The sequence below is a fragment of the Homo sapiens genome, chromosome 5, assembly GCF_000001405.40.
Source record: "Homo sapiens chromosome 5, GRCh38.p14 Primary Assembly".
In the NCBI taxonomy this organism is placed as follows: Eukaryota; Metazoa; Chordata; class Mammalia; order Primates; family Hominidae; genus Homo; species Homo sapiens.
Window position 1 is genome coordinate 151,183,956 of NC_000005.10, and position 18,150 is coordinate 151,202,105.

Consider the following 18,150-nt stretch of genomic DNA (forward strand, 5'->3'; position numbering starts at 1 on the left):
GATGAGAAAATATGTACAGTATTCAATAAATTATGTCTGACACATGATACTAGCTCTTATTTACTAAGCCCTAAGAACTGATTCATTCCACTTAGGCCTGGTGCACTATAAATTTCCTGTTTCCTCCTCCCTATATTGGGCTTTCCCACAGAGTACACTCAGCCAGGACAGAGACAAACAGATACTAATCAAGGCATTGGGACTTTGGTTTCTGAGCAGAACTGCCCCCTTGGGTTTCTTGACTCCCAGGGAAAGAGGAGCCACATTCCCTAAATAGGCCCTGGGCCCACCTGTCAGTCCATTCCTCAGGCCCCTCTAAGACTCTCCCAGCTGGGAATTTTGGCAAAAAGGGTGGGGATGGGAGTAAAGGAGGCAGGAAGACAGCTACCTTGACAGGACCACCTGGTTGCGGCTTCGGACATGGAGGTCCTCATTTTCCTGTTGCAGGGTCGTAATTTTTTCCTCCAATATCAGATTTTTCTCTTTCTATAACAATGAGAATGAGCTCAGAAAGCTGCCAAACTCACGCTGCACGATGTGTGCTGTCACCTCCCTCTTATCTGTGGTCACTGAAAGCACTGATTCATTCTAGACTAGATGTTACATTTCATGGAGCAATAAGGTAACTTAGAAAAAAGTAAAACTAAAAAGTTAACAAAGGGCTGCGGCTTTTTGCCACAGGAGAATGGTAAAAAAAAATTACAGGCCCTACCATCTCATTTCACCATGAGTTCATGGAAGAAAGAATATGTTTTGTTCTCCAAAAGTCAGAAGGATATGATCTATATAAATAAAATTAAGTTTGTCTGTTATGTGTTTCCACAAAAATGAGCGAACAAAATCTATACGGAATGTTTGAGATGATCTGATTAAAATAAAGCCCTGTGGGTGATTCCATGTCACGTGACTCAAGCCCCCAGGGCTCCCTGGGCACACACCCTGGCTCCCCATCTCCCTCCTACCCTCTTTCCTTCCTGAGAAAAGAACGGATGGTGACATGAGATGGTAGTGCCTGTAAGACTTTTTTTTTAAACATTCTCATGTGGCAAAATTAAAAGTCAGCAGCTTTTTGTTAACTCCTTAGTTTTATTTTTTTAATTATAAGTTGTAAGGCACACAGGAGGCCAGGGAGACTTCTACAGCAACATAATCTCTGCTTAGATTCAACCCTAGGGTTTCTGAGGCTTCTGTCCTCCCGTGTTCTCAATGCTACCTGCCCTAGTGTCACCCAAGCTACAGCAACATCAGTAGCCTCAAAAGGCACAGGACTCAGATGATAAGGAGCCACTGCTTGACCCAGCCTGGCCACAGACCATGCTCAGTGGTCAGCACAGGTGGCAGGTCAAAGCTGGAGTGAACTAGGCTGGGACCTCCTCAAACCACCTCCCCTCTGCATGCTTTACAAAGGAAACACCCAGAAAGCGGGAGCCTGAGGCTGCATCCCCCAGCCACTCCCAGTCACAGACCACTGTTTCCATGAGGATCAGCCGCCTGTCCAGCTCATGAATACGCTCATTCTTCATCTCGATGACAAAGTGTAAGCTCTCCAGCTCCTGCTCCCAGAACTGGCTGGGGCTCCCATAATCCTAGACAGGGACAGAGTGACCTCATTAGGCCAGTAGGCTACCTCCCTCCTCCCCATTCTGCCAGCAACTCATTGTTGGACTTTCACAAGTCACCCACCTTCCTCTCTCAGCCCATGTTAAGTGTTTAATATGCTTTATCTCCCTGTATCCGAATATCACCTTTTGAGACATGTGCTAGCACCACAGATGAGGAGACTGTGGTTCGGACAGGTTGAGTCACTTGTGCTAAGTGGCAGGTTTGCTATGTGCACCTAGTTCTCTCTGAATCCAGAACGTGAGCACTTTACTATTCCAGATGCTGCTCTCTGGGCCTTAATTTTCCCATCGGTGAAATGGGAACTCTTTTATTTCCAGGCCCTTGTGTAGGTAAGAGTGCCAGGTCTGAGTCTTGTCCTTGAAGAGGGGCTGGTCTTTCCTGTTGCCCGGCCCTGACCTCCCTGGAGATTCAAGGAGGAAAAGCGCCCAGGGTGCTGCCACCTACCTGGATATGTTTCTTATAGTTTCGGCTCAGAATGGACTCCTCCACCCTCTTCATTTTGGCCTGGAAAGCCTCCAGCTGTGAGGTCAGTCTGTCTATGGTCTCCTGGAGCAGGGAGTGGGATGGAGACAATCAAAGCCTGCCTCATAAATGCTGTAGGTGAACTTCGCCACATCCCAGAGGGAGAACGGTTTTGGGTTCTTCAATCTGTCTTTGGCTACTCTACATGACAATGCAACATCAACATACTTCGACCACTGCTTGAGATCTACCAGCCCTTACAGTGCAGAATTGCATGCTGGGAAGAGAAAGAAAGAAGAGAAAAGAAAAGAGGAAAGAAAAGAAGACGGGAGGGGAGGGGAGGGGGACGGGAGGGGGAGGGAGATAGGGAGGGGAAGGGAGGGGGACAGAGAAGGAGAAGGAGAGGGAGGGAGAAGGAGAAGGAGAGGGAGAAGGAGAGGAGATGAAAGGAACATACCAACCCCACCTCTTGCTTTAATGCCTTTAACGGCTCCCCATACTGCAGGGAACAATGTCCTGCTATAAAAGATGGTTGTTAGCCTGGCATTCAAAACACATCCAAACCAGGCTCAATGAATTTTTCCAAGCTCACCTCTCACTGCTCCTTCTATACATCCTCTCCTGCAGCCAAACATCACAATAGTCCCCCAGCTGCAGGGTACATTCTTATCTCCAAACTGTTTCACTGCCAAGAACTTTCTCTACTTGAACCGTGACCACTACCGTTAGGCTAGAGCACAACCCCTTAAGGTGGCTCACTGGCTTCCACTCTGGCCCTTGCTCACGTTCTTAGCCTTAGTCCCCTCTCCCACTGAAACTCATACCCCAGGCATCCTGGACATCTTTCGGTTCCTCAGGTATTCCATATTTTTCCTTTTTCCTCCATGTCTTTGAACACATTGCTTTTTTTCTGCCTGAGGCACCCTTCCTACCCTTCTTTACCAAAGAATTCCAACCCATCCTTCAGACTCCAGCTTAGATCTCACTCCCTCTAGGAAATCTTTCCTGCACAGCCACATTGAGTCAGATGCTTCCCTGCATCCTTCCACAGGTCCCTGTGCATCCACCCATGAATCTAATCACACTGTGGCACTTGGCCCATGCCTCTCCAAGATCTCCCCAGCAGTCCCTGGAAAAATAGGCCCAACTCAATTTCACACTCAGTCCTCTTGAGCTAATAGCCTGGTTACTACATCAAGGGGCCTGGATACACAGAAGGCAATCACCTCAGCCCCTCACTCCTAGGCACACGTAATCAGTTTTGGCTGCCTTGGGGCTCCATGCTGCTTTCCCATTGGTCCTCACTTACCCTTATCCAAGACTGACACGACCCAGCCCCTCTCACCTGCTGGGTAGAACTGGCCTCCCGGAAAGAGTGGGTAAGCGCTTCTTTCTCCTGTTCATATGAGGCCCGGAGGACTGTAGGGAAAGGAGAACTCCATAAGCTCAAGACACTTCTCCCCAAAGCCTTCTGCAGGCCCCTTGGTGGCCAGGAAGGTCCAGATATTTAACTGGGGCCCATAGAGGCCAGGAGTCTAGGAACGGTCTTATTCATCCTTCTGTCTCCTAGGCTTGCTTGGGGGCTGTGCCAGAAATGTACTAGGTATTTAATAAAACCTCAAGGAAATTGAAATAAACTATAGCCTGGGAGGAACGCTACCAGATTGCGGGTGCCATCCACACCTCACTAAAGCTAAGATCCAAAGATCTTGCAGGAAGCATGTTCACCTAAGACCACCTCGGGCCACGGAAAATGCATAGGACAATGCTTTGTAAACTGGATTAGCGAAATCACAAAATCATTAAATCCTTAGTTGTCAAACTAAAGCACAAAACTGCAGTAAGTACATTGGATTTGTGGCTAGGAAATCCACCTGGTCCTGGCTCTGCCTTTCCGAAACTGAGAGACCTTGAGAAGATCATATCAGACATCTAAAAGTCCAGTTACCTCAACTGTGAAATGGGATCAATAAACTGGATCTGATTGTCTCAAAGGGGTCATTTGAGGATCACATGAGAAGGACGTGCAAGGGCTTCACAGACAGGGCGGTGCTGTACACAGCTGAAATTATCGTCATTCCCCAAATCAATACAGTTGTATGTATCATCCCATCTCCTTCATAAAGTTCCTTTTGGAAAATTCCAACCTTGTCTCAGCTGAAAAAAGACAATGGGCAACTGACAATCAACGGGCAGAATGGGAAATAGAACAGAGGAGACAGGAAAGTATAATACAGCCAAAGAGCCAGGTATCTGGCAGTGATGAAAAAAATAATGTTCAAGGCCGGGCACGGTGGCTCATGCCTATTATCCCAGCACTTTGGGAGGCTGAGGTGGAAGGATCACTTGAGGCCAGGAGTTTGAGACCAGCCTGGCCGACATGGCAAAACTCTGTCTCTACTAAAAATACAAAAATTAGCTTGGCATGGTGGTGCAAGCCTGTAGTCCCAGCTACTCAGGATGCTGAGGCAGGAGAATGGCTTCAACCCGGGAGGCAGAAGTTGCAGTGAGCTGAGATCACGCCACTGCACTCCAGCCTGGGCAACAGAGACTCTGTCTCCAAAAAAAAAAGAAGAAAAAAATAATGTTCAGTAATATAACTGTGGTAGAGTAGTAAAAAATTTATAAGAATTTATCAATATATAATATTTATAAATATATAATATCAATTTATCATATAAAAATTACAGCCTTAACTTTTTAAAATTATTGGCCTAATTTGTTAATTTGCCTATCAAGACAGGTTCTGGTTTCAGGTAAGATGAAGGAAGCACACTCCATCCAGTTTTTCCTACTGAATGTAGCTATAAAACCTGGACAGAATGAATTCTGCAGTTATTTGCAGACTGAAAAGTAAATGGTAGCAGCAGACTGAGCAAGAAGACCAGAATTTGAAGTACCACTGACCCAACAGATTTAGACAAACCCAGAATCTCACGTATTTAGATATTTTAAATGTCCAGGATACAACCCCAAATTTCTCAGCATACAATACAAAATCACTCAGCCTAAAAAGAAGCAGAAGAAAAACTCCCTTGAGGAAAGATATTCAACAGATGCCTAAACTGAGATCCTATAGATGTAGGAATTATTAACAGAGTTTTTATGGTAATCAATGTAAAAAGACTCCAAGAAGTATGGGTGTTCTGTCACTGACGGCAAGAAGGAAAAAGAGAAAAGGAAAGTAAGAGTGAATATACTTTTAGGAATAATAGAAAAATAGAAAGTCTTAGCAAATAAATAGAGTTATTAAGAAGAACCAAAAGGAAATTTTAGAACTAAAAAGTATAATAAGTGAAATAAAAACTCACTAGGTGAAATCAATAGCAGAATGGAGATGAGATGATAAGAAAGAGCCAGTGAACTTCAAGATAGATCAATAGAAATTATCTGATCTGGACAATAGAGGAGAAAAAAAGATTAGAAAAAAAAATGAACGGAGCTTCAGAGACCTGTAAGATAATGCCCAAATAGCTAACATTACTATCATCACAGTCAAAGAATTAGAGGAAAAAGGGTGCAGTGCAAAAAAAAAAAATTGAAGAAAGAATGATTGAATATTCCACAAACTTGCCAAAACATAAACCTACAGATTAAAGAAGATCACTGAACTCCAAAGTAAGCCCAAAGAAATCCACACCCAGACAACATCATTTCCAAAAGCTAATGACACAGAAAAGGTGTAGAATGGAACCAGATAAAAATGGTACACTACATATAGGGAACAACAGCTTGAATAACTGTGTGTTTCTCATTAGAAACCTTAGAGACCAGAAGAAAAAAATTTAAAAACTGCTGGAAAATGTTGATGTTCATAATGTTGGGTTGAGGTCTACCATTTTAGGATGTGTTTTCTGTTTGTTCTCGCTGATCTTTATCCTCTGTTTTCTCTTTCCTGCTTTCTTTTGGAGTACAAAACCATAACAAAAAGCCCAGAATCCCATATGCAGTGAAAATATCCTTCAGGAAAGAAGATTAAATCGAGACATTCTCAGATGAAGGACACTTAGAATTCATCACCAGCAAACCTGCTCTAAAAGAATTGCTAAAGGAAATTCTTCAAATGAAACCAGAGGGAAACTTGAAACTTGAAACTTCAAGAATGTAGGAAGAGTAACAGAACTGGTAAAGACCTAAGTAAATACAATAGACTGTTCTTCCCTTGAGCTCTTTAAAATATGATTGATGATTAAATGCAAAAATTATAACCTTGTCTGATGGGGCATTAGATGTATGTAGATGTAATACATGAGATAAATGTAACAAAAATGGGAGAGAACAGAGGAACCTACATGACGGTAAGCTTTTTACATTCCATTAGATGTGGTAAAATAGCAATTTCAGGCCGGGCGTGGTGGCTCACACTTGTAATCCCTGCATTTTGGGAGGCCAAGGTGGGTGGATCATCTGAGGTCAGGAGTTCCAGACCAGACTGGCCAACATGGTGAAACCCGGTCTCTACCCAAAATACAAAAATTGGCTGGGCCTGGTGGTGGGTGCCTGTAATTTCAGCTACTTGGGAGGCTGAGGTAGGAGAATCGCTTGAACCCAGGAGGCAGAGTTTGCAATGAGCCCAGCTCATGCCATTGCACTCCAGCCTGGGTGACAGAGCAAGACTCTGTCTCAAAAAAAAAAAAAAAAAAAAGGAACTCTAAGTAGATTGTTAAGTATATTGTAATTCTTAGAGTAACCATTAAAAAAAATACAGAGATACAGTAAGAAAGACAATAAATAAGTTAAAATGGAACACTAAAAAATGTTCAAATACTCAAAAAAAAAGCAGGAAAGGGAAAACAGAGGATAAAGATCAGCGAGAACAAACAGAAAACACATCCTAAAATGGTAGACTTCAACCCAACATTATGAACATCAACATTATCAATAACAACAGTAAATTAAATGGCTTAAACATACCAAATAAAACACAGAGTATGTCAGAATGGGTTTTTAAAAACCCACCTGATGGGATCATTCATACCCCAAACCTCAGCATCATGTACTATACCCGTGTAACAAACCTGCATGTGTGTCCTGAATCTAAAATTAAAGTTGAAATTAAAAAAAAAAACCACCCACCAACTAACTACGTGCTATTTACAAGAAACCCACTGTAAATAGATGTTATAGGTAGGTAATAAGTAAAAGGGTGGAAAAAGAAACACTAATCAAAAGAAAGTCATAGTAGCTATATGATTTGCAGATAAAGAACTGAAAGGAGACATAGACAAATATGCATTATAATTGGAGACTTCAACACTCCTCAGCATTCCACATAAAACAGCCTGAAAATCAGCAAGAATATAGAACTGAATACTAACATTAACCAAACTTTATCTAATTGATTTATATCTAAAATACTCAACCCAACAATAGCAGAATACACATTCCTTTCAAGTATACATGAAACAAGATCGACCATACCCTGAGTCATGAAACAAACCTTAACAAACTATAAAAGCAGCAAAATACAAACTATGTTCTCTGACTGTAATGCAATCAAACTGGAAATCAAATAACAGAAAGAGAACCAGAAAATCTCCCAACACTTGGAAATGCACTTCCACATATTCAATGCCAGAGAGGAAGTCTCAAGGAAAATAAGACTGAAAATATTTTGAACTCAACAAAATGAAAATAAAACCATCAATATGTAGGATGCAGGTAAAGCAGAGTTTAGGAGAAAATTTATAGCTTAAATGTTTATATTAGAAAAGGAGAAAGGTCTCAAATCAATATTCTAAGCTGAAGAAATCAGGAAAAGGTATCAGGCCCAGTGACTCACACCTGTAATCCCAGCACTTTGAGAGGCGGAGTCAGGAGGACTGCTGAGACCAGGAATTTGAGACCAGCCTGGGTAACATAGAGAGACCTGCCTCTGTTAAAAATTTAAAAATTAGCTGGCTAGGTGTGGTGGGGTACCTATAGTCTCAACTACTCAGGAGGCTGAGGTGGGAAGATTGCTTGATTCCAGGAGTTTGAGGCTGCCCTGAGCTATGATCATGACACTGTACTCCAGCCTGGGAGACAGAGCAAAACCCTGTCTCAGGAAAAAAAAAAAAAAAAAAAGAATGAAAAGAAATAAAAAAAAAAAAAAGCTAACCAAATATAAAGCAAGCACACAGAAGGAAGGAAATGAAAATAACAGAAACCAGTGAGATGGAAAATGGTAAAATAAGGGGGGTGGGTGGGGAAATCAATGAAACCAAAAGCTGGTTCTTTGAAATAATTAATAAAATTGATAACCTCAAGCAAGACTGACAAAGAAAAGAGAGAACATACACATGACCAATATCAGGAATGAAATATCACTACAGACACAGCAGATATATGAAATGATATTAAGGAAATATGCTGAACAATCCTATGCACCTAGATTCAACAACTTAGATGAATGTAACAATTCTTCAAAAAAAAAAAATGACCAAAACTCACCCAAGGTGAAGTATATAACCTGAAATTCCTTTAAATATTAAAAAGAAATTGAATTTGTTGTTAAACACTTTGAAAGACATGCCCAAGCACAGATTATTTCATTGAAAAATTCGATTAAACATTTAAAAACGATATAACACCAATTCTATATAATCTCTCCCAGAAAGAGAAGATGAGGGGACATTACTACATGGGGCAAGCTTTATCCTGATACTAAAACCAGATAGTGTAAGAAAACTACAGGCCAATATTCCTCATGAACATAGACACAAACATTCTCAGTAAAACATTAGAGGATCAAATTCAGCAATACATAAAAAGAGTAATATAACACAACCAAGTGGAGCTTATGCCAGGAATGCAAGGCTAGTTCAATGCAGTCAGCCTTCTGTATTTGCAGGTTTCCCATCCTCAGATTCAACCAAGTGTGGATAAAAAAAATTTGAAAAAATAAAAATAAAAAATACCAAACAACAATAAAAGATAATACAAATAAAAATACAGTCTAACAACTATTCACCTTACTTTTACATTGTATTAGGTATTATAAGGAATCTAGAGATGATTTAAAATGTATGGAAGGATGTACATAGGTTATATGCAAATAATACGCCATTTTATATAAGTGACTGGAGCATTTGCAGATTTTGGTATCCAAAGTGGGTCCGAGAATCAATTCCCCATGGATACCTAGGGATAACTATATTTGAAAACTCAAACAAATGTAATCCACTATATTAACCATCTAAAGAAAAACCAGGCCAGATGCGGTGGCTCACACCTGCAATCCCAGCACTTTGGGAGGGAAAGGCCAGTGGTTCATTTGAGTTTGAGACCAGGCTGGGCAACATGGCAAAAACTCATTTCTACAAAAAAAAAAAAAAAAAAAAAAAAATTAGCTAGGCATGGTGATGTGCACTATAGTCCCAACTACTTGGGAGGCTGTAGTGGGAGGATCACCTGAGCCCCAGAGGTGGAGGCTGCAGTGAACCAAGATAGCACCACTGCACTCCAGCCTGGGCATCAGAGTGACATCCTGTTGGAAAGAAAAGAAAAGAAAAAAGAAGACAGGAGAGGAGAGGAGAGGGAAAAAAGAGGAAGAAAGAAGAAAGAGAGAGAGAAAGAAAGACCACATGATTATATGGATCTTAGATCTAAATATAAAACCATAAGGCTTTGGAAGAAAACATTGAAGAAAATCTTTGTTACCTGGGGTTTAGCAAAGAGTTCACAGACATGACATAAGAAGTATAATCAAAGAAAAAAATAAATTGGACTTTATCAAAATTAAAAGCTTGGCTTTGTGAAAGACATTATTAACAGAATGAAAAAAATCACCCCACTGGCTAGGAGAAAATATGTGCAAATACAAAGAACTCTTGTCCAAAATATATAAAGATATCTCAAAACTCCACAGTAAGGACAAGCAAGTTAATTTAAATGGGAAAAAGACCTGAACACACATTTGACCAAAGAGGATATGTAGACAGCAAATAAGCACATGAGTTGTTATTGAAATGTAAATTAAACCTATGGTGAAGATTACTGCACACCTATTAGAACAGCTAAAATAAAAAACCAGTGACAGCAAGTATTGGCATGAAGTAGCAACGGTATAACTCATACATCACAGATGGTGATATAAAATAGTGGTCACTCTGGAAGACAGTTTAGCTGTTTCTCATAAAGCTAAACATACATTTATCATATGACCTATCCCACTCCTGTGTATTCACCCAAGATAAATGAAAACCTATGTCCACACAAAGCCTGCACATGAATGTTAGAACAGCTCTATTCATAATTGCCTCAAATGTCCTGCAACAGTGAATGAGTAAACAATGGAATATAACTCCACAATGAAAATGTATGAATTATTGAGATATGCAACAATTGGAATGAATGTCAAAGGCATCGTGATGCATGAAGGAAGCCAATATAAAAAATCATATTGTATTATTTCATTTATGTAATAGCCTAGAAAAGACAAAGCTACAGAGATGGAGAACAGATCAGTAATTGCCAGGGGTTAGGGTGGGAGAAGGATGTGAATACAAGGGTATTTTGAGACGGCTTTTTGGGAGTGATAAAACTGTTGTGTATCCTGATTGTGGCGATGGTTACAAGAATCTATACATGCGGCAGGGCGCGGTGGCTTACACCTGTAATCCCAGTACTTTGGGAGGCCAAGGCGGGTGGATCACGAGGTCAGGAGTTGAAGACCAGCCTGACCAAGATGGTGAAACACTGTCTCTACTAAAAATACAAAAATTAGCTGGGCATAGTGGCACGTGCCTGTAATCCCAGTTACTCGGGAGGCTCAGGCAAAGAATTGCTTGAACCCGGGAGGCGGAGGTTGCAGTGAGCCGAGATCACGCCACTGCACTCCAGCCTGGGTGACAGGGCGAGCCTCCATCTCAAAAAAAAAAAAAAAAAAAAGAATCTATACATGCATTAGAATTTATGAAAATGCACATCCCCTCAAAAAGAGTCAATTTTACTATATGATAATTTAAAAAATAAAAAAAAGACAGCAAAGGGTCATCGAATGTGGAAAATCACCACTAGTCTCTCCTGGTTATCTGTGTACCTCTCCCCATACATATAAAATGTCATATATTTCCACCATCCTGTGCTTTCATTCATTCATTATAGACTTATGTAGCACTTAGTATGTGCCAAACAATTTAAAAATAACTATAGAAGAATTCTGACTAATGGGAAAAACTCAAGACAGGCAATCTCTTCTCCCCTGGGTGTTACAGTAGGAAATTCTTCTTATTAATATATTTGTAACGCTAAAAATAATATCAAAGCAATGCTTGGAGAATAAAGTTGTTTTCCCATAAAGTCTTGTGAGGTACAGAAGGTAGATTTTAGAGATAGAGAAACTGAACCAAGATTCAAGGAGGTTGAGTGATAGCCCCAGTTCAACAGGGTATGGTATTATTAAAACACAATTCTTCGGCTGGGCGAGGTGGCTCACGCCTGTAATCTCAGCACTTTAGGAGGCCGAGGCAGGCGGATTATGAGGTCAGGAATTCGGGACCAGCCTGGCCAACATGGTGAAACCCTGTCTCTACTAAAAATACAAAAATTAGCCAGGCGTGGTTGCAGGTGCCTGTAATCCCAGCTACTCGGGAGGCTGAGGCAGAAGAATCACTTGAACCCGGGAGGCGGAGGTTACAGTGAACCGAGATCATGCCACTGCACTCCAGCCTGGGGGACAGAGTGAGACTCCATCTCAAAAAAAAAAAAAAAAAAAAACACGCACACTCACACCCACACACACACCCACACACACCCACACCCACAAAACCACAATTCTTCAATTTCCAGGCAAGGACTTTAATTCCATTTCACAATGTTTGCAATAATGTGTGCTAATGTTGCAATATGTTTCAAGATTCTTAAAATCATTCAGACCTCTGTTCTAGTTATTCCATCTGGGTAAATCTAAGGACATAATGTGAAATACCGGCAACATTATGCAAAAGCTGTTTTGAGATCTAGAGGTCTAGACTCACAAGAAATAAGGAAAGCCATGTACTTTACGGTCTTGCCTTTATAAACATTTTAGTAGCAGCATAATTACTTGGAAACATATTTGATACAATGTTAAATGAAAAGAACAGGATATACACTTTTACGTACAAAATAATCACAACCATGTGTTTTGTTGTTTTGTTTTGTTTTTTAGATGGAGTCTTGCTCTGTCACCCAGGCTGGAGTACAGTGGTGAGATCTTGGCTCACTGCAACCTCTGCCTCCCGGGTTCAAGCAATTCTCCTGCCTCAGCCTCCTCAGTATCCTGAGTAGCTGGGATTATAGGTGCACACCACCACACCAGACTAATTTTATTTTTTAGTAGAGACGGGGTTTCATCATGTTGGCCAGGCTGGTCTCGAACTCCTGACCTTGTGATACACCCGCCTCGGCCTCCCAAAGTGCTGGTATTACAGGTGTGAGCCACTGCACCCAGCCACAGCCATGTTTTAAGAAGATAAATAATTCTGGGGAAAGGCCATGCGAATACTCATGATGAAAGGAAAAATCAGTAAAGCATTTTCAAGGTCAATTTCAGTAACATCAGTAATATACATAACCTTCTCCAGAGAAGATACACAAGTCACCAAGAAGCACATGAAAAGATGCTCAACAGAATTAGGCATTAGGGAAATGCAAATCACAACCACAATGCGAAACCACTTTATGTGCACTAGGATAGCAACAGGTGTTGCAGAAAATAACAAGTGTTGAAAAGGATGTGCCACCATTGGAACTCTTGTGGGTTGCTGATGGGAACATAAAGTGGTACAGCCCCTGTGGAAAACAGTTTGGCAGTTGTTCAAAAAGTTAAGCACAGAATGATCGTATGACCCAGCAATTCTCCTGGGTGTACACCCAGGGGGAACTGAAAACAGCTGTTCAAGTAGGTGCCTGTACTAGTGGCACTATTTACAGTGGCTAAATGGTGGAGGCAGCCTAGGTGTCCATCAACTGATGATGAATGGGTAGAGTGTGGTGTGTCTGTGCAATGGCAAATTACCCAGCCGTAAAAAGAAACAAAGTGTAGATGCATGCTGCAACACAGATGAGCCCTGGAAACATTTCAAGGTGAAAACATTCCAAGGTGAAAGAAGTCAGATGTGGGTGATCATGTGGGTTATACAATCCCGTTTATATGCGTGTCCAGAATGGACAAGGCCATAGAGACAGACAGTGGATTGGTGGTTGCCAGGGGCTAGTGGTAAGATAAGAAGTGACTGCTTAGGCTGGGCACAATGGCTCATGCCTGTAATCCCAGCACTTTGGGAGGCCGAGGTGGGCGGATCACTTGAGCCCAGGAGTTTGAGATCTGCCTGGGAAACATGGCAAAACCCCATCTCTACAAAAAAATATAAAAATTAGCTGGGCATGGTGGCACGCGCCTGTAGCTACTCAGAAGGCTGAGGGGCAAGGACTGCTTGAGCCCAAGAGGCGGAGGTTGAAGTGAGCCGAGATCGTGCCACTGTACTCCAGCCTGGGCAACAGAGCGAGACCCTGTCTCAAACAAACAAACAAACAAAACAAAAAAAACAAAAACAAAACAAACAAAAAAAGTGCCTGCTCGGTGGGTGGGAGTTTCCTTTTGGGGTGATGGCACTGTGAATGTATTAAATGTCACTAATGGTAAATCTTATGTCTATTTTACCAAAATAAAAAATAGATATACATAAACTTTACCACACCAATTCTATTAGGATGTTATTCTAATGCTGAAATCATGAATGTGACAAAGATGTTATAAAACCGGGGTTGATTATGTAAGTATCATTGCTGTTATAGACAATGAGAAAAATCTTGAAATTACCTAAATGCCTAACAAAGGGACTCAGTTAAATGAACAAGGGTGCATATTGGAATGCTATGTAGTTACTAAAACTCTTGGTATAGAAGAGTTTAATGACAGGATGCTAATGCAACACAAAGTGGAAAAAATAATTCACTTCCTCACCCCAAAGTGTGTGTGTATAGATGTATATTCTATGTATATTACAGAAAAAGAAATGGAAGGAATCTATTTCAAAGGGGTAACAGTGGCTAACTCTGGGTGGAATTATGATTTAAATTTTCTCAATAATAAAATCAGTGCTAAGAATTATTGCTAAGTAACTTGCACTGTTCTAAATTCTATCTCGGTCTATCTATCATTAAATTGTTTAATTCTTACAAACAACCTATTAGGGAGGTAAAGTAACTTCTTCAAGGTTACAGAGCTGGTAAGCAGTGGGGCTGAAGTTTAGACCCAGGGACTGGAGCTCTAGAGAATGAGATTGATCTATCTATCTATCTATCTATCTATCTATCTATCTATCTATCTATCTATCTATCTTACCAAACTGGAAAGTTTGATATCTATCTATCTATCTATTTATTTTTAATAGTGACAGCATCTTGCTATGTTGCCCAGGTTAGTCTTGAACTCCTGGGCTCAAGCAATCTATCCACCTTGGACTCTCAAAGTGCCAGGAATACAGGCGTGAGCCACAATGCCCAGCCAAGAATGAGACGTTAACCACTGTGCTGTAAGATCTTTTTGTCTAATCTACAGTTTCCAAATTTTCTGTGATGATCACCTTTGGTGATATAAGAGGAAAGAAAGTCATTTTTCAAAATAATCAATCTAACAATAAATAAGAGCTACCATCATCGTGGGGATGGAATATGTGTATTTAAAAATTCTTCTATTTGTCTGGGTTTTCCAAATTTCCCTTAATAAATATGGATTGCTTTTTAAATGGAAAGAAAAAAATACCTCTCAAATAAGGAAAAAGAAAGGTTGATGCCAGCCTCTTAAATCCATGCCCCAAAGGAAAAGTCCATCAACCCTCTAGGGCCAAGGATCCTGTAGATTTGAGTCAATTGCTTGTGGATCAGACAGACAGGGAGGGAACAGTGGGAGTGCCCAGGTGAACTGGGCAGGTGGGGCCAGAAGGAAGCACCCCCCACCACCTTGGCCAGTGGAACATCTCTACCCTTACCTTGCAGGGCCTCTTCATTCTTTCCTTCCAGGACCCTTTGCTGCTCATCCAGTCTGTCTCGAAGCTCTAGCTCCCTTTCCTTCTCCACCTGGGGGCAGAGAGTCCCGGGCAGGACTGAGATTGAGCAGGATCAGCACAGCATCTCTTATCCCCTCACCTGGGCCTACGTGGAACTTGGTGACCAGAGTCCTAACCCTTCCTCTGAGGGATGGGAATGACACGCCCAGAAAGGACACAAGACTTCCAAGACACAGCAAGCGTGGCAGAATTTGCCTTCTTTAGGGTTTAGCAGGGGGTTCCCATGTAATTATCCACATGGAAAAGGATTTAGGAGTATTCTAATCCTGATGCTTCCTCAAGGCAGGAAGCCTCCCATGGTGTTTCTCTGCTTGCGTAAGGCTTACTGTTTCAAGTGACCTCCAACTTCTACCATCAGGTCCCAGATCTGCCCTCTGGGGTCACACAGAGCCAGACTGTTCCCTCAACCCAGGCAGCCCCTCAGAGATCTGAGCATAGTGGCCCATATTCCCAACATTTCTCTTCCCCAGGCTGAACCCTCCCAGCCATTCTCATTGTCCCCCACTTGAGATGTTTTCCAGTCCCTTTGCCACCTGTAAGGTACAGCTGATGGGGCATATCCAGAGGCAAGGCATGACTTAAATTAGGCATTCTAGCCCCAGCATACCACTGAGTTCCTGGGTAATGAGCTCCCTCCACTGTATAATGAAGGGACTCAACTTGACAATACCTGGGGCCCTTACAAGTCTCAAGGTTAAGGATTCCACAGGTAATGGTCAGGGCCAAATGACATTACCATGGTAACTCTACCAAAACAAACTAAAGACCAGCAGCTGCATACAGTTAACTTACCTTTCATAAAAGGTGTGTTTCTGAAAAATGCGTCTAAGCTAAAACCATTTTAATGTGTGTGGGGGCACTTGCCACAGCCTTCCACCCAGCGAACACCTGAGGGCAGGGTCTGGACCCGATTTCTCCCTGTACCCCTGGCAGTGCTGAGGCCGCACCCTCCCCGCACATAGTAATCTCCCCCAGCAAGTCGACTGGGTGAATAAAATCTAGCAGAAAATCTTTCAGTAATAAATAACCATGTGATTTAATAGAGTGATTAGTTTATAACTACGGAGACTTTTTTTTTTTTTGAGATGGATTCTTGCTCTGCCACCCAGGCAAGAGTGCAGTGGTGAGATCTCAGCTCACTGCAACCTCTGCCTCCCAGGTTCAAGTGATTCTCCTGCCTCAGCTTCCCAAGTAGCTGGGATTACAGGCATGTGCCACCAGGCTGGGCTAATTTTTGTATTTTTGTAGAGACGGTGGTCTCGCCATGTTGCCCAGGCTGTTCTCGAACTCCTGACGTCAGGTGATCTGCCTGCCTCGGCCTCCCAAAGTGCTAGGATTATAGGCATGCCTGGCCCAGATCTATCTTAAAGCAGTGACTTTAAATTTCAGAATTTTGAATATTTACCCTGAACATATTTCATATTTATAATTTAAACTAAAGAAAATTTAGAGAAAACTTGTGTACACCACCAAATCTTTCCTGCTGCTCTACCCATTCCCTCTGGTAAAGGAAGAAATGGAGGCAAAGAGAGGTGAAGGGTGAGTGACCAAGTTAGAATGAGGAAAAGGAAATCCTGGGCTGCAGGTTACATTCAGTCATCCCATCACTTTAGTGTCCTTCAATCTAGAATTGTTCCCCAGTCTTTCCTCATGTTTCATGGCCTTGACATTTGACTAATATAGGCTGGAAATTCTGTAGAATGTCCCTCAATTTTCATTTCTGGGTAATTTTAAAGCCTCCGTGTCATCCCTTTAGAGAAGCCTTCTCTGATCCCACAGCCTTGGTTAAGGGTTCTATTATGTCCTTTCACGGCACTGTAAACTTTTCATAGCACTTATATTTGCAGTAAGTATTTCTGTGTAATTGTGTTTAGCATCTGATGTCCCATCTCAGTCATATAAGCTAAATTATGCTGCCATAACAAACAATGACAAAGTCTCAGTGGCTTAAGACAAAATGTTTATTTTGCCCTCACTACCTACCCATTTTGTGTGGCAGGGAGCTCTGCTGCCAGGGATTATCCAGGATTATCCAGGGATAATCACCCAGAGATCAGGCTGATAGAGCGGCCATTACAACAGTCCCGTCACTTAGCTAGACAGAAAGACCTTGAGGGTCTTGAACTGGCAACTAAATGCTTGCCCTAGAAGTGACACTGGTTCTTCTTTCTATAACGCATCAGCCAGAACGAGTTCCGTGGTCCCACCCAACCATGAGGTGGGCCCAGAAAGGCAATTAATCTAGTGGCATCAACAGCTTTTACTCTTCCCAAATAGACTCTCAGCTTCGTGAAAGCAGCTGCCAGCTCTGCTTGTTTTAACCAATGTGCCCAGCACACAGTGCCCTGATAAAAATATGTGTTCAACAGATAAAGGACTCCCTTCCTGGTAAAATGAGTAAGGGACTCTTACAACAGCAACAAAAACCTAAGGTAGGCACTCACTCTGGGATTCACCAAAGTTAGCTGAGCAGGAGAAAGACAGGGGGTGGGGGCACCTGGACTTACCTGTTGTGCCCATTTCTTCTTTTCCTCCTCATGTTGCTGGAGAATTCTGGTTATATCCTTCTGGTGCCGCTCAGCCTCCTCTGATGCACAGAGCTGGACAGTTATAGCTAGAGATGAAAAAGCAAAAAAATAAAAATAAAAAAACTCACAGAGTGGAAGTACAGTCAGAGCTGGCAGAGAGAGTGTGGGAAATGGGGCTAAGGGATGAGAACCCTGGTCTCTGCCTCAAGAATGATTTCGGGTGGGACCAGTCTCCAGAGACAGCCCCTCGAGTCTCTTTGGACTTGGAGATCCTCTTTCAAGGAATAAGCCAATGGTCTCATTTTGTCTTCTGGTCTCTGCCTCAAGAATGATTTCGAGTGGGACCAGTCTCCAGAGACAGCCCCTCGAGTCTCTTTGGACTTGGAGATCCTCTTTCAAGGAATAAGCCAATGGTCTCATTTTGTCCTCTGGTCTCCCTGTTCTACCCCATTTTTTAAAAAATTAGTCGCTGGCCAGACATGGTGGCTCACACCTGTAGTCCC

The 18,150-nt window shown here is 42.0% G+C and overlaps 1 protein-coding gene across 1 annotated transcript in view; it reads right to left on the minus strand.

The window, feature by feature from the left end:
• Positions 1–18,150, minus strand: part of CCDC69 (coiled-coil domain containing 69) — a 43,041-nt gene that overhangs the window by 2,904 nt on the left and 21,987 nt on the right. Inside the window, exons 3-8 of the mRNA NM_015621.3 lie at positions 17,627–17,733; positions 15,042–15,129; positions 3,431–3,504; positions 2,068–2,169; positions 1,467–1,586; positions 389–486 (exon numbers count right to left, since the gene is read on the minus strand). Of these exons, the coding sequence (NP_056436.2) occupies positions 389–486; positions 1,467–1,586; positions 2,068–2,169; positions 3,431–3,504; positions 15,042–15,129; positions 17,627–17,733 (589 nt within the window). The remainder of the gene's footprint in view (positions 1–388; positions 487–1,466; positions 1,587–2,067; positions 2,170–3,430; positions 3,505–15,041; positions 15,130–17,626; positions 17,734–18,150) is intronic.